We start from the raw sequence: 13,729 nt of genomic DNA, 5'->3' as shown, positions 1-13,729 counted from the left end.
TAAAGTGCTGGGATTACAGGCTTGAGCCACCACACCCTACCCTCTGAACTTTTTATTCTCATACGTTCCAGAACCTGGAGGTAAAATAGATCTCTTCCTTATTCCTATGCCACTTGTACATGATCTCTTCTTCCTTCCTTTTCTAAAACATTCCAGCTTCTTTGTATCATGTGCTACTGAATTATGCCACCTGCTATTCCTCCTTGGAAGGTACATATCTTCTTTACTCACTACAGATTGCAGCACCTAGTTCACTGTGTTTTTTCTCCACCACTTCTCCTGTTATTATTCTTGGTGACATCAGCATCAATGCAATTAATACAACAGTAACTTGGTCTTCTCTCTTCCAACAATAACTTCCTCCACCCCATATGTAAACCCTCTCCAAATGTCATATTCTAGACCTTGTGAATACAAACTTTTCTACCTCCAAAATCTCAATTCCCGGTATCCTACTTTGCAACCACAACCTCCTATCTTTTTGGGTTACTTACTACTTATTCAAACATCCCTATTCTAATGATTCTTTCACCCAAGAGAAACCTCCAATCGCTGCCCTGAAATCCTCACTTGCCTCTTTACCCACTGTCCCTGAAAATAATCACTCTTCTACATAGACCCTTAATTCCAGGATTTTGTCCATTTAATCTAAAATTTCAAATTTATTGACATAAACACTCAAGAAGTTGAGAACTATGCAATGAAATACCCCATGTATTCTTTACACAACTATAAAAATCATCAACTCCAGGCCACTCTTATTTCATCCATAACTTTACCAAGTACCACTAGAATCAGGTGAGAGCTACCATGCCTGGCTACCTTTCTTAACGTCCAAAGGACCGTTCTGTCTTTAACCCACTCCAATCTCTACTCCTTTATCTATACTAAAATAGCTTTCACAAAGATCACCAAAGACCATTTTATCAAATCCAGTGGGCAATTCCCAGTCCTCTGTAGCATTTGAAACAACTATCACTCCTTTCTTGAAGTACTTCCTTCACTTAACTCCTGGTTTTCTTCTTACATTACGGGCTGCTTCTTCTCAATCTCTCTCTCTCTCTCTCTCTCTCTCTCTCTCTCTCTCTCTCTCTCTCTCTCTCTCTCCCCCTCTCCCTCTCTCTCTCTCTCTCTCTCTCTCCCTCTCTCTCTTTTGAGACAGAGTCTTGCTCTGTCACCCAGGCTGGAGTACAGTGGTGTGATCTCAGCTCACTGCAACTTCCACCTCCAGGGTTGAAGTGATTCTCATGCCTCAGCCACCCAAGTATCTGGGATTACAGGCACATACTACCATGCCCAGCTAATTTTTGCATTTTTAGTAGAGACGGGGTTTTGCCATGTTGGGCAGGTTGGTCTTGATCTCCTGGCGTCAAGTGATCCTCCCACCTCGGCCTCCTGAAGTGCTGGGACTACAGGCATGAGCCACTGCACCCAGCCTCGATCTCTTTTGATGCTTCTTTTTCCCTTTTCAATCTCTAAATGTCGGAATGCATATGAACTCAGTTCAGAGTTCATGTATAGATCATGGGAATCTTCTCTATTTAAATCTCACTCTCTAAATGTTAATCATCTGGTCTCAGGGCTTTAAATACCACCTATTTGTTGATGACATCTATGTTTATATCTTCAGCAGAGGACATTCAAGTTAATTTTACACTTGAATATATAATAGACTTCTTGAATTTAACTTGATTCCTGTCTTTTCTTGCCAAAATCTGCTCCTTCTCCAGTTTTCCTTTTTCCATTAAATGGTACCACCATTCACAAACAATTGTTCAGGGTAAAAAGCCAGCCTGGGCCGGGTGCAGTGGCTCACGCCTGTAATTCCACCACTTCGGGAGGCTGAGGTGGGATCATGAGGTCAGGAGATCGAAACCATCCTGGCCAACATGGTGAAACCCTGTCTCTACTAAAAATACAAAAATTAGCCGAGTGTGGTGGTGTGCACCTGTACTCCCAGCTACTCGGGAGGCTGAGGCAGAAGAATTGCTTGAACCTGGGAGGCAGAGGTGCAGTGAGCTGAGATCATGCCACTGCACTCCAGCCTGGCGACAGAGCAAGACTCCATCCCGCCCCCCGCCAACCAGAAAAAAGAAGTCAGCCTGGATTCCTCTTTCCCTATACTCCACATCCAATTCATTAGCAAGTCCTGGGAAAGGCCCACATCTAGAAGCTTTTTAATTCAATTACTTCACTTCAAATTTAATCTTGTCCAACTTTCATCTTTACTAAACAAAACATTCATTAACTAAACTGCTTATCTATTATTTGCAGTTTTCCTTTACGATTTATTTAAATCTTAAATACTTTAAATAATTATTTAAATAACTTATTTTGGCTGGGCGCGATGGCTCATGCCTGTAATCCCAGCACTTTGGGAGACTGAGGCGGGCAGATCACTTGAGGTCAGGAGTTTGAGACCAGCCTGGCCAACCTGGTGAAACCCTGCCTGTACTGAAAATACAAAAACTAGCCAGGCGTGGTGGCAGGCACCTGTAATCCCAGCGACTCAGGAGGCTGAGGCAGGAGAATCACTTGAACCCGGGAGGTGGAGGTTGCGTTGAGCCAAGATCACACCACTGCACTCCAGCCTGGGTGACAGAGCGAGACTCCGTCTCAAAAAAATACAAAATAAAAATAAATAAATAACTTATTTAAGTAAAGATTTATTTAAATCTTTAAATTTAAATCTGGCCAGGTGTGGTGGCTCACACCTGTAATACCAGTACTTTGGGAGGCTGAGGTAGATGGATCACTTGAGGCCAGGAGTTTGAGATCAGCCTGGCCAACATGGTGAAACCCAGTCTCTACTAAAAATACAAAAATTAGCTGGGTGTGGTTGCGAGCATCTGTAATCCCAGCTACTCAGGTGTCTGAGGCATGAAAATCACTTGAACCTGGAGGCGGAGTTTGCAGTGAACCAAAATCACACCACTGCATTCCAGCCTGGGTGACAAATTAAGAATGTCTCAAAAAAAAAAAAAAGATGTATTTATCCTAAGCCCTACCCTAATCATCAAAAGACCCCACATCATAACAAATAAGTAAAGAACTTTTTTTAGTTACCATAAAACAGAACTCTCATTTGTACCATGATGGCAAGAAAATGATCTACAGGCTGGGTGAGGTGGCTCACGCCTGTAATCCCCGCACTTTGGGAGGCTGAGGCAGGCGGATCACCTGAGGTTGGGAATTTGAGACCAGCCTGACCAACATGGAGAAACCCCATCTCTACCAAAAAAACAAAATTAGCCAGGCATGGTGGTGCATGCCTGTATCCCAGCTACTCAGGAGGCTGAGGCAGGAGAATCGTTTGAACCCGGGAGGTGGAGGTTGCAGTGAGCCAGGATCGTGCCATTGCACTCCAACCTGGGCAACAAGAGCAAAACTCTGTCATAAAGAAAAGAAAAAAAAAAAAGAAAAGAAAATGATCTACAATTTGATTGAGATAAAAATAAGACATCATCACAATCCCAAAAATTATTCAGAGTAAATGCATTTACTAATCAAATAGAACAGTGGTAGGAAAAAGGGAAAGAAAACAGAAAATGTTAATTATTTTTATCTAGATTTATGAAATTACTTCACGTTAAAATGACATGGTAAGGGAAAAAGAAAAAAGAATGACATGGTATGGAAATAATCCAACAGAATTATTTTTTGTATCATGAGACTTTTCAGAGTTCATGTATGCAGTCGCTCTCATTCTGAATTTCAGAGGACTGAGATTATACACATTTCCTGGTGAATTCATACTCTCTACTTCTGCAACACAGAAGACAAGGATATTACTTGAAGCATTAGCAGGACGAATCCAGGCAAAAGATTAGAGAATGGAAGGATTATTAGACACTAGAATGTTTGGCAAAAGGAAGCTGTATTGTCCCTCCTACTCCAAATATCAAGCCAAATGGTTGAATTGTATGCTCTCTGAGTGGTTCTTCCAAAATAAAGTATTTATTTAAAATAAATACTTTAAATAATTATTTAAATAACTTATTTTGGCTGGGCGCCAAACTTGACATGGGCTGGGCCCTATCTGTCATGTAGAATTCATATAAATTATTTTTCTAGAGTTTGGAAACCACAGGTTTAGATGGATCCCCTGAACTCACCGATCCTGGGCATGAATACTAGCTTCCTGAGGTGGGAGTGGTCTTGCTAACCAGGATACTTGAATCCAAACCGCATCATATAGGTCTTTCTTCCGGGTATGCACAGTGCATGGAACAATCAATGGCATTCCAAAGAGGCTGGGGCGATTCTCCTGAGGTGACAGGAAATACAGTTCTGTCCTCATCTGTATGTACAAACGAGAATAGAGAGTTGAGAAGACAGGCCTCTGATTCCTCCCTTTAGTTCTTCTAACTCTGCCAATGATAGGCATTATCACCATTTCAAATTAGTCACTATCACATTCTTCTCTATGTTTATAAAACCATCTTTATTGACACAAAGAGAACGGTTTACAGTGGAGTCATTAAAAGCGCTGAGGTATTGCCAGTTTTAGAGTTGTTGCCTATTCTATCAAACTTGGGTTTCAGCAATCAATATATTCAAACCAGAGTTTTCTCTGATAAACATTTCTCACATACACTGAATCACATGTAAAAACTAGTAATAGCTTCATAGCTAAAGGCTTTTAAACAATTGAGACTCTTTCTTTCTCCAGAAAATATGCCAGTAAGCTGGGTGTGGTAGCTCACGCCTGTAATCCCAGCACTTTGGGAGGCTGAGGCAAGAGGATCCCTTGATCCCAGGAGTTTGAGATCAGAATGGGCAATGTAGGGAGACCCCATCTCTATAAAGAAATAAATACAATTAGCTGGGCATGGTGGCATGTGTCTGTAGTCCCACCTATACAGGAGGCTGAGGTGGGAGGATTGCTTGAGTCTGGCAAGTTTGGTACAGTGATCTGTGATCGTGCCACTACATTCCAGCCTGGAAGGTAGAGTGAGACCTGTCTCAGAAAAAGAAATGAAAAGATGCCAGTGGGGGGAAAAAAAAAAAGACTATCTCAACTATAGTTTTCTAGGGATAAACTGTCGATAGTGGTTGTTGGAGTGGCAATTCCCAAAGTTTTGGAGATTTGTGAAACCTAGTAATTCTATTTTGTAACAAGCTTATCCACCTTCCTAAAAGCAGTTAAGTGATTTTAATCCTTTTTGTTTGTTTTTTAAATACAGGATAGGATAAAAGTAAGGTAAAAATTTTAAAAATTTGCTTTGAGTATGTTAAAGAGACATTTATGATATTCCTTAATATAGAGATACTGCACAGAATTATCCTGGAAATGGCTGTTTAATAAACATTTAGTATAATGGAATGGTTGGTGGGAGTTCAAGGTTATCCAAAGCTGCTGAACCTTTGAATATTTAATTCTCTAAGAAGTTTGGTATTTATTGAGTAATTAGAAAAGCTAAATCAACAACTTATCAACTCACTAAGGGTTAAGTTAGCTAGTTTCTAAGTAAAAAGACCCTTCTTTATTCAGATTATTAAGCATTTTATTTTGCCATTTTCATTTAAGCTTAAATACATAATTTTAAGACCCTATTTCATATGTTACTATTATTATGAGACCCAGAGAAATCCAGACAGAGTTCAGTACAAATATTTCACAAAATTTTAAAACATAGCTAAACCCACACAATTTTCATCCTCTCATTAAGGAATTTCTCCTAGTGCCCTAGGGCCCATACTTTCTCAGTTACTACTGAGATAAATTCTACTCCCAGTTATTAACATGGTTAGAAACTTCAAGCCAGGGCCAGGTGCAGTGGCTCATGCCTATAATCCCAGCACTTCGGGAGGCCGAGGCAGGCAGATCATGAGGTCAGGAGTGCGAGACCAGCCTGGCCAATACGGTGAAACCCTGTCTCTACTAAAAATACATAAATTATCTGGGCATGGTGGCACGCGCCTGTAGTCCCAGCTACTTGGGAGGCTGAGGCAGGAGAATCACTTGAACCCAGGAGGCAGAGAGTACAGTGAGCCGAGATCGTGCCATTGCACTCCAGCCTGGGCAACAACAGCAAGAATCTGTCTCAAAAAAAAAAGAAAAAGAAAGGAACTTTAAGCCAACGGCTACTAATTCAGAGAAAAATAAAAATCAGAGGTAAAAGGGTACATTTCTGGCTGGATGCGGTGGCTCATGCCTGTAATTCCAGCACTTTGGGAGGCCAAGGTGGGTGGATCACCTGAGGTCGGGAGTTCAAGACCAACCTAACCAACATAGAGAGACCCTGTCTCTACTAAAAATACAAAATTAGCCGGGCGTGGTGGCGCATGCCTGTAATCCCAGCTACTCGGGAGGCCGAGGCAGGAGAATCACTTGAACACAGGAGGCGGAGGTTGCGGTGAGTTGAGATCGTGCCACTGCACTCCAGCCTGGGCAACAAGAGCGAAACTCCATTGCAAAAACAAAAAAAAGTACATTTCAAATAATTATCACAAAGCAACTAGCTTTCTGTTATCACTGAGTTTAAGAAACAGAATATAGTGAGCACTCAAAAGCCTCCCATTTGCTTCCTCCAAATCACAAATTCTCCCTTCCTCACAAAGGTAACTATTATTCTAAATGTTACAGTAATCACTTTCTTGCTTTCCTTTACAGTTTTATATCCTATGCAGAAGTAAATAAACACTAGATTTCATTTTCCCTGTTTTAAAAGTTTTTATATTTATAAATAGAATTACTTAATTCATTTTTTTTGTTTGTTTTTTGAAACTGGGTCTAGCTCTGTCATCGAGGCTGGAGCATAGTGGTGTGATCTCAGCTTGCTGCAACCTCCACTTTCTGGGCTTGAGAGATTCTCTTGCCTCAGCCTCCTGAGTAGCTGGGACTACAGGTGTGTGGCACCACACCGGCTAATTTCTGTATTTTCTGTAGAGATGGGGTTTCACCATGTTGCCCAGGCTGGTCTTAAACTCCTGGGCTCAAGCAATCAGCCCACCTCAGCCTCCCAAAATGCTGAGATTACGGGTGTGAGCCACTGTGCCTACCCTAATTCTTTTTTGTCTGGCTTCTTTCCATCAACATTAGGTTTACGAGATTCATTTATACTGGATATAACTACAAATCCATTCATTTTCATTCCTGTATAATGTTCTTTTATCTTAATATATCTCAACTTCCCAATCCCTTCTACAACTAATGGACATGTAATGTTTTCATTTTGGGGCTACTATAGATAATGCTGCTATGAATATTCTTGTGCATCTCTCCTGGTACACATATCTTTTGGGTGGATACCTACAGGTAGAACTGCTTATCTTTAACTAGAAAATTGTATTCCAAAGTAGTTGTATTAATTTATATTCTCATCAGCATGGTATGAGAGTTCCTGTTGCTCTACTTAGCAACCCTGTCAGTCTGTTTAATTTTACCTGTTCAGGTGAGTGCACTGATATCATAATATTGTTTTAATTTACATTTCACTGATTACTAGTGTCATTGATCACTTTTTTTTTTTTTTTTGAGACGGAGTCTCGCTCTGTTGCCCAGGCTGGAATGCAATGGTGTAATCTCAGCCCACTGCAACCTCTGCCTCTGGGGTTCAAGCGATTCTCCTGCCTCAGCCTCCCAAGTAGCTGGGACTACATGCACCCACCACCATGCCCAGTTAATTTTTGTATTTTTAGTAGAGACGGAGTTTCACCATATTGGCCAGGCTGGTCTTGAACTCCTGACCTTGTGACCCGTCCGTCTCATCTCGGCCTCTCAAAGTGCTGGGATTATAGGCATGAGCCACCGCACCCAGCCAAGTTATCAATTTTAATGAAGTGCAATTTAATCTTTTCTTTATATGCGTAATGTCAGGAATGAATTCACCATTATTATCTTCCAAGGGCTGTTTCATTGTTTTGCTTTCAAATTTAGCTCTATAGACCACCTGAAATTGTGGCGAAAGGTAGGTGCCAAGTTTCATATGGATATCTAATTGTCCCAGCACCACTTGCTGAGAAAACTTTCTCTCACCACCCTGCAATGTTCTCTTTGTTATAAATCAGGTGTTCATACATTTGTGAACTGGTTTCTGGGCTCTCTATTCTATCCCAGTGGTCTATTTGTCTTTTCTTGTACCACTGTGACATTATTTTAAGTATCATATCTTTGTGAAATAAATCTTGATATCTGGATGATATCCAATCTTGATGATATCCTCATACCTTATTCTTCTTCAAGAGTATCTTGGCTATTCTGGGTGCTTTGTATTTCCACATATGAGAATCAGCTTATCAACTCACACACACCACACACACACACACACACACACACACACACACATGCAGACTTTGCATTTTTATTGGGATTGTGCATTAAGTCATCTGTAGATTAGTTTGTAGAGAACTGACATCTTAAAATATCGAGTCTTCTAATCCATGAACATGGTTTATTCCTTCCAATATTTAAGTCTTTAATTTCTATCAATATTTTATTTTCTATATAGATGTCTTATGTGTCATTTTTAAAGTTTATTCCTAGGTACTTAATTTTTTTCTCAGCATTTAATTTTTTTGATACTAAGATAAATAATATCTGTAGTTGAGTTGAATGGTCATCCCTAAAACAGTATATCCATGTTCTAACCCCTGGAACCAGTAAATGTGACCTAATTTGGTAAAAGGATGTTTGTAGATATAATTAAGTTGAGGATGTCAAGATAAGATCATCCTGGATTATCTGGGTGGGCCCTAAATTCAGTGATAAGTATCCTTATCAGAGAAAGACAGAGAGAAGGAGAAGGCCATGTGAAGAGGCAGGGATTGCAGTTATGTAGTCACAAGCCAAAGAATGCCTGGAGCCACCAGAGGTTAGAAGAGACAAGAAAGCATTCTCTCCTAGAACCTTTGGAGGAAGCCCCCACCCTACTGAAACCTTGGTTTCAGACTTCTGGCCTCCAGAAGGTGAAAGAATAAATTTCTGGGCTGGGTGCAGTGGTTCACACCTGTAAACCCAGCACTTCGGGAGGGCGAGGCAGGCAGATCACGAGGTCAGGAGATCAAGACCATCCTGGCCAACATGGTGAAACCCCATCTCTACTAAAAATACAAAAATTAGCCAGGCATGGTGGCGTGTGCCTGTAGTCCTAGCTACTCGGGAGGCTGAGGCAGGAGAATTGCTTGAACCCAGGAGGTGGAGGCTGCAGTGAACCGAGATTGCACCACTGCACTCCAGCCTGGGTGACAGAGCGAGACTCTGTCAAAAAAAAAAAAAAAAGATATATTTCTGTTGTTTAAAGCCACCAAATTTATGGTAATTTGTTATAACAGTCCTAAGAAACCAATACAGTAGTACCTTTTTTACAACTTCATTTTCTCTTGTTGCTGCTATACAATCAATTTACTTGATCTAGAAGCCCTAATTTCCTTTACTTTATTTTATTTATTTATTTATTTATTTATTTATTTATTTATTTATTTTTTTAGACGGAGTTTCGCTCTTGTTGCCCAGGTTGGAGTGCAATGGCACAATCTCAGCTCACAGCAACCTCCACCTCCCAGGTTCAAGCGATTCTCCTGCCTCAGCCTCCTGAGTAGCTGGGACTACAGTCGTGTGCCACCATGCCTGGCTGATTGTTGTATTTTTAATAGAGACGGGGTTTCACCATATTGGCCAGGCTGGTCTCAAACTCTTGACCTCATGATCCACCTGTCTCAGCCTCCCAAAGTGCTGGGATTACAGGCATGAGCCATTGCACCTGACCTTTCCTTTCCTTTATAAAATTAGGACACTAAAGTCCAAAGAGCTCAATCAGCTATCTAGTGGCAGAATTAGAACTAAAACATAGGTTGCTAAATTCCTAGTTCAGTGCCCTTTCTACTCTACCAAGTTGCCACTATACCCGAAGACTACCTCTTTAACAATTATCCACTGACCACAGTTTTCAAACCTTCCTTTTTCTTTTTTACCAAAGAGTCAACCTTTAATGCAATAGTTATATATTAGACTATCAAGAAAGGAATTATGCACAACTTGATTTTGCCGAAGAACATTCTTGTGTCCTCTAAGAAAAAAAAAACAAAACCCAAAACAAAAAACTTTTCCAAAGCCATCCGCGTTTATGTGGCAGTGAAGATGTACATACCTACATAAACACACAGGAAACATAAATTTTGTGTGTGTTGGTTTTTGTTTTTTTCTAATTTTTTTAGAGACAAGGTCTCACTTATTGCCCAGGTTGGAGTTGAGTGGTTATTTACAGGTGTGAGCATCATAGCATATTATAGCTTCAAAATCCTGTCCTCAAGGGATCCTCCTAAACATGTCTGGCTTAGGAGATACTTTGTTTTTGTTTTTGTTTTTGTTTTTTTTTGAGATGAAGTCTCGCTTTACCACCCAGGCTGGAGTGCTGTGGCACAATCTTCGCTCACTGCAACCTCTGCCTCCTGGGTTCAAGCAATTCTCCTGCCTCAGCCTCTCAAGTAGCTGAAACTACAGGCGCATGCCACCATGCCCAGCTAATTTTTGTATTTTTAGTAGAGATGGGATTTCACCATGTTGGCCAGGCTGTTCTCGAACTCCTGACCTCAGGTGATCCACCTGCTTCAGCCTCCCAAAGTGCTGGGATTACAGGTGTGAGCCACTGCACCTGGCCAGGAGACACAAATTTTTAAAGAAAGTAGTACTCAGATGTGCTGACTATCCTGTTGCCTCTTAATATACGGATGAGGAATGTCATTTCATACATTAGCCATCATGAATAATACTAAATCCTGGCTCTGATCACTTATATTAGCATATATAATACATTGAAAATACATTCATAGCAACAGGTTTTGAGGACAGGATAGAAAAGTAAAAAAATAAAATTTGTAAAAGTATTAAATTTTTAAAAATTAAAGAAAAAAGAGAAGAAAATGCATTCAATGATGTTGCAAAGACAGAAAATGGCTATTTCACAAATGACACTAGCAAGACTGGCAGTGAGTTGCCTAACATTTAACTAACCATTTTTCGGTGGACTGCAATGATGTAACCTGTAAAGGGGCTGTCAGGAAGAGATGGCATGTGACCATTAACCATTCCATTTGTGAAGTTCTTCTCAGTTCCACATGGCACAACAGTGTTTGGCATTCCATTGGGGATGAATATTGGTTTGGGTAGGTCCCCATTGGTAGTTAGGGTGAACATTCCATTTGTAGATGGTGAAGAGGAGAAATCTACAAATTCAAAGATAAGTACAGCATCATAAGCTTGTGGTATTTTCATCTTTGCTCTTTTCTCAAGTATCCTGAGGACGAGAGACAGTGTAGTCTCTTAACACAGGGCAGGGAGAAATCATAGTATAAATAATTCTAGATTTATTGGAAGATTTTAATTTCCAGTTTTACTTCCCTAACTCACACTTTTGACCAAATGAAAAGGAAAGAGTAACTGCTGGAAACTATTAAGCAGAATTTTTGCAGAAACCTGTATCAGCACCATGTTGTAGCACACAAACAGTTCTACCACTTGTTTTCTTTTCCTTCTGTTCGCCTTTGAAGACACCGTCCAATACAGTAACCTCTACCCAGATGTTGCATTTAAAATTTAAATTAGGCTGGATGAGGCAGCTCACATTTGTAATCCTAGCACTTTAGGGGGCTGAAGTAGCAGAACCCTTGAGCCCAGGAGCTAGTGACCAGCCTAGGCAACATGGTGAAAACCCATCTCTACAAAAGATACACCATAGCTGGGCATGGTGGTACACATTTGTAGTCCCAGCTTCTTGGGAGGCTGAGGTGGGAGGATTGCTTCAGCCCATAAGGCAGAGGCTGCAGTGAGCCAAGATGATGCCACTGCACTCCAGGCTGGGTGACAGAGTGAGACCCTTTCTCCAAATAAATAAATAAAATAAAATAAAAATTAAAAATGCATTATTCTCAGTCACACTAGCCACATCTCGAGCTCTTAACAGTCCACGTGATTGGTGGATACTGTATTGGATGGCAAAGATCACAGAAGTTTCCACCACTGCAGAATTCTATTAGACAGTGATACTCTAAATTAAAACTAAAATTAGATCATCCACCAACTCACCGTCAGGACTATCTACCTACTACACGTCAATGAAGGGAGCCTCATAAAGCCCTTTATAGTTGGGGAATTAGCCTAATTAACCTAATTGTAAGTAATATAAAGAATAGACAAAGCATACTAGTGGCTAAAAGACTCAGTGAGTGATCACATTAAATTACATATAATATTGGATTTCTTTCTAGCTATATCTATTGTTTATATTTTCTGGTAGTATGTTCCTCTCATACTAGCTGTTGCCATGTTAGTATTAGATAAATGTTCAAAGAGATCTGAATTCCAAGGGTATATTAGCTAACAACTACCTATCTAACTGAAGTCACTTGGGTTCTCTAAATTTTAGGTTTCTCATCGAAAAAATATGGAATAATCAGTAAGGTTTCCCTTGAGTTCCAAAGTTCTTCTGCTATAACATCCTCAGCATGAACAAATATAAAAAAGATGACAACTCTTAGACAAATATTTAAAGGTGCAGTCATGAGAAGGAGTTCTAGTTCTATCTTACCTATTTGTGTTGGACTAGAAGCTGAAATTGGAGATGAAGGGACAGGAATTTCAAATGCACACAAAAATCCGCTCACTGAGAGTTGTACTTTTTGGTTATCCTGAGGAAAGTTCTACAGAAACAGCAGCAAGATGAGAAGGGGGAGATGTTTCAGATAAAAAGGAAAAGTTCTCTCTCTAATGTATTTCAAAAGAATGTCTTAGGTCCTTTCATCCATAAAACCAACGAGATGATTGAATAATTTTTCAACTACATAAAGGATGAATGCTTGATAAAAATAACTGAAAACTAATCTCAATTGTTGAACTATTATCTCTTTTCACAGGAAGAAGTGTGTTGTACATGACTGACTTCTTCAGTTTTGTCCTTTGTCTCAGGGATCTAAATTCCAACCCTCAGAGACGCCATTGTTGCATTTCATATTAAGAAAATGTCAATGAGGTGAGAGTGTGTTCAGAAATCCCAAAGATGAATATAAATAATAGCAGTTGCAGGAGCTTAATTTAGAGTAAGCAATATATTTATTAGATTATTTGTTTCCCCAGCTGGTTTGTAGAAAGACATGATTGGTGTCAATTTGTCTTTACTCTTAATTTCTTAGTGTGTTAAAAGACCAAATATATATATTCGTAAATACATAAAATGCTTTAACCTAGGAAGAATTCTAGTAACAGTGGTAATATAGAAGAGCTGTGAAGTGTAACAGCAGCAGTCTTTGGTAATAGCAGCAGTCTTTGGAGGAAACCTATACTATAGTGACACAGCTAAAACACTCCATATAGGCAGCCTTACATATTTCCCTTCTTCAAAAATACCACCATCAGTATTATCCCTTTATTCTGGTAGAAAACTCTTTTAAGTTTCTGGGTTGGAAAACTTGGCATTTTTTGTTGTTGTTCAGTTTTCGTTATGTTTTAGTATCTCTCTTGGTCACATAACCTAACAACTGATCATCATAATTGAGAAAAATGTCATCTTTGAAGGATAGAATCAAAAGTTTCTTAGAGTAGTTAACATTACCTTTATGTTGGAATCATGTACTTCTGCTAGTAGGATTTGTTCTGAATTAAGTCCACAGAGATCCCTCAGCTGTTTTTTTAAACCTGTGTACTTTTCATCCATATTCAGTCTTAGTCCATACCGTACAGGGGTAGTACCATCTAACTTAATCACTAGTAAAGAGAAAAGATCTTTTATCAGTA

The 13,729-nt window shown here is 39.8% G+C and overlaps 1 protein-coding gene across 12 annotated transcripts in view; it reads right to left on the bottom strand.

Annotated features, from left to right (window-relative positions):
- USP6 (ubiquitin specific peptidase 6) overlaps positions 1 to 13,729 on the bottom strand; it is a 58,960-nt gene that overhangs the window by 15,270 nt on the left and 29,961 nt on the right. For 11 of the 12 annotated variants that reach the window (NM_001304284.2, XM_011524058.3, XM_011524050.2 and 8 more), the window contains 4 exons: positions 13,548 to 13,699; positions 12,528 to 12,639; positions 10,955 to 11,166; positions 4,116 to 4,300 (listed from right to left, as the gene is read on the bottom strand). In NM_001304284.2, the coding sequence (NP_001291213.1) occupies positions 4,116 to 4,300; positions 10,955 to 11,166; positions 12,528 to 12,639; positions 13,548 to 13,699 (661 nt within the window). Of the gene's footprint in view, positions 1 to 4,115; positions 4,301 to 10,954; positions 11,167 to 12,527; positions 12,640 to 13,547; positions 13,700 to 13,729 lie in introns of those variants that run through there. The other variant, XM_011524059.3, reaches the window with a different exon arrangement.

Source organism: Homo sapiens, chromosome 17 (assembly GCF_000001405.40).
Source record: "Homo sapiens chromosome 17, GRCh38.p14 Primary Assembly".
In the NCBI taxonomy this organism is placed as follows: domain Eukaryota; kingdom Metazoa; phylum Chordata; class Mammalia; order Primates; family Hominidae; genus Homo; species Homo sapiens.
The sequence above is the reverse complement of the archived record's forward strand: the minus strand, read 5'-3'. Positions and strand labels throughout refer to the sequence as shown.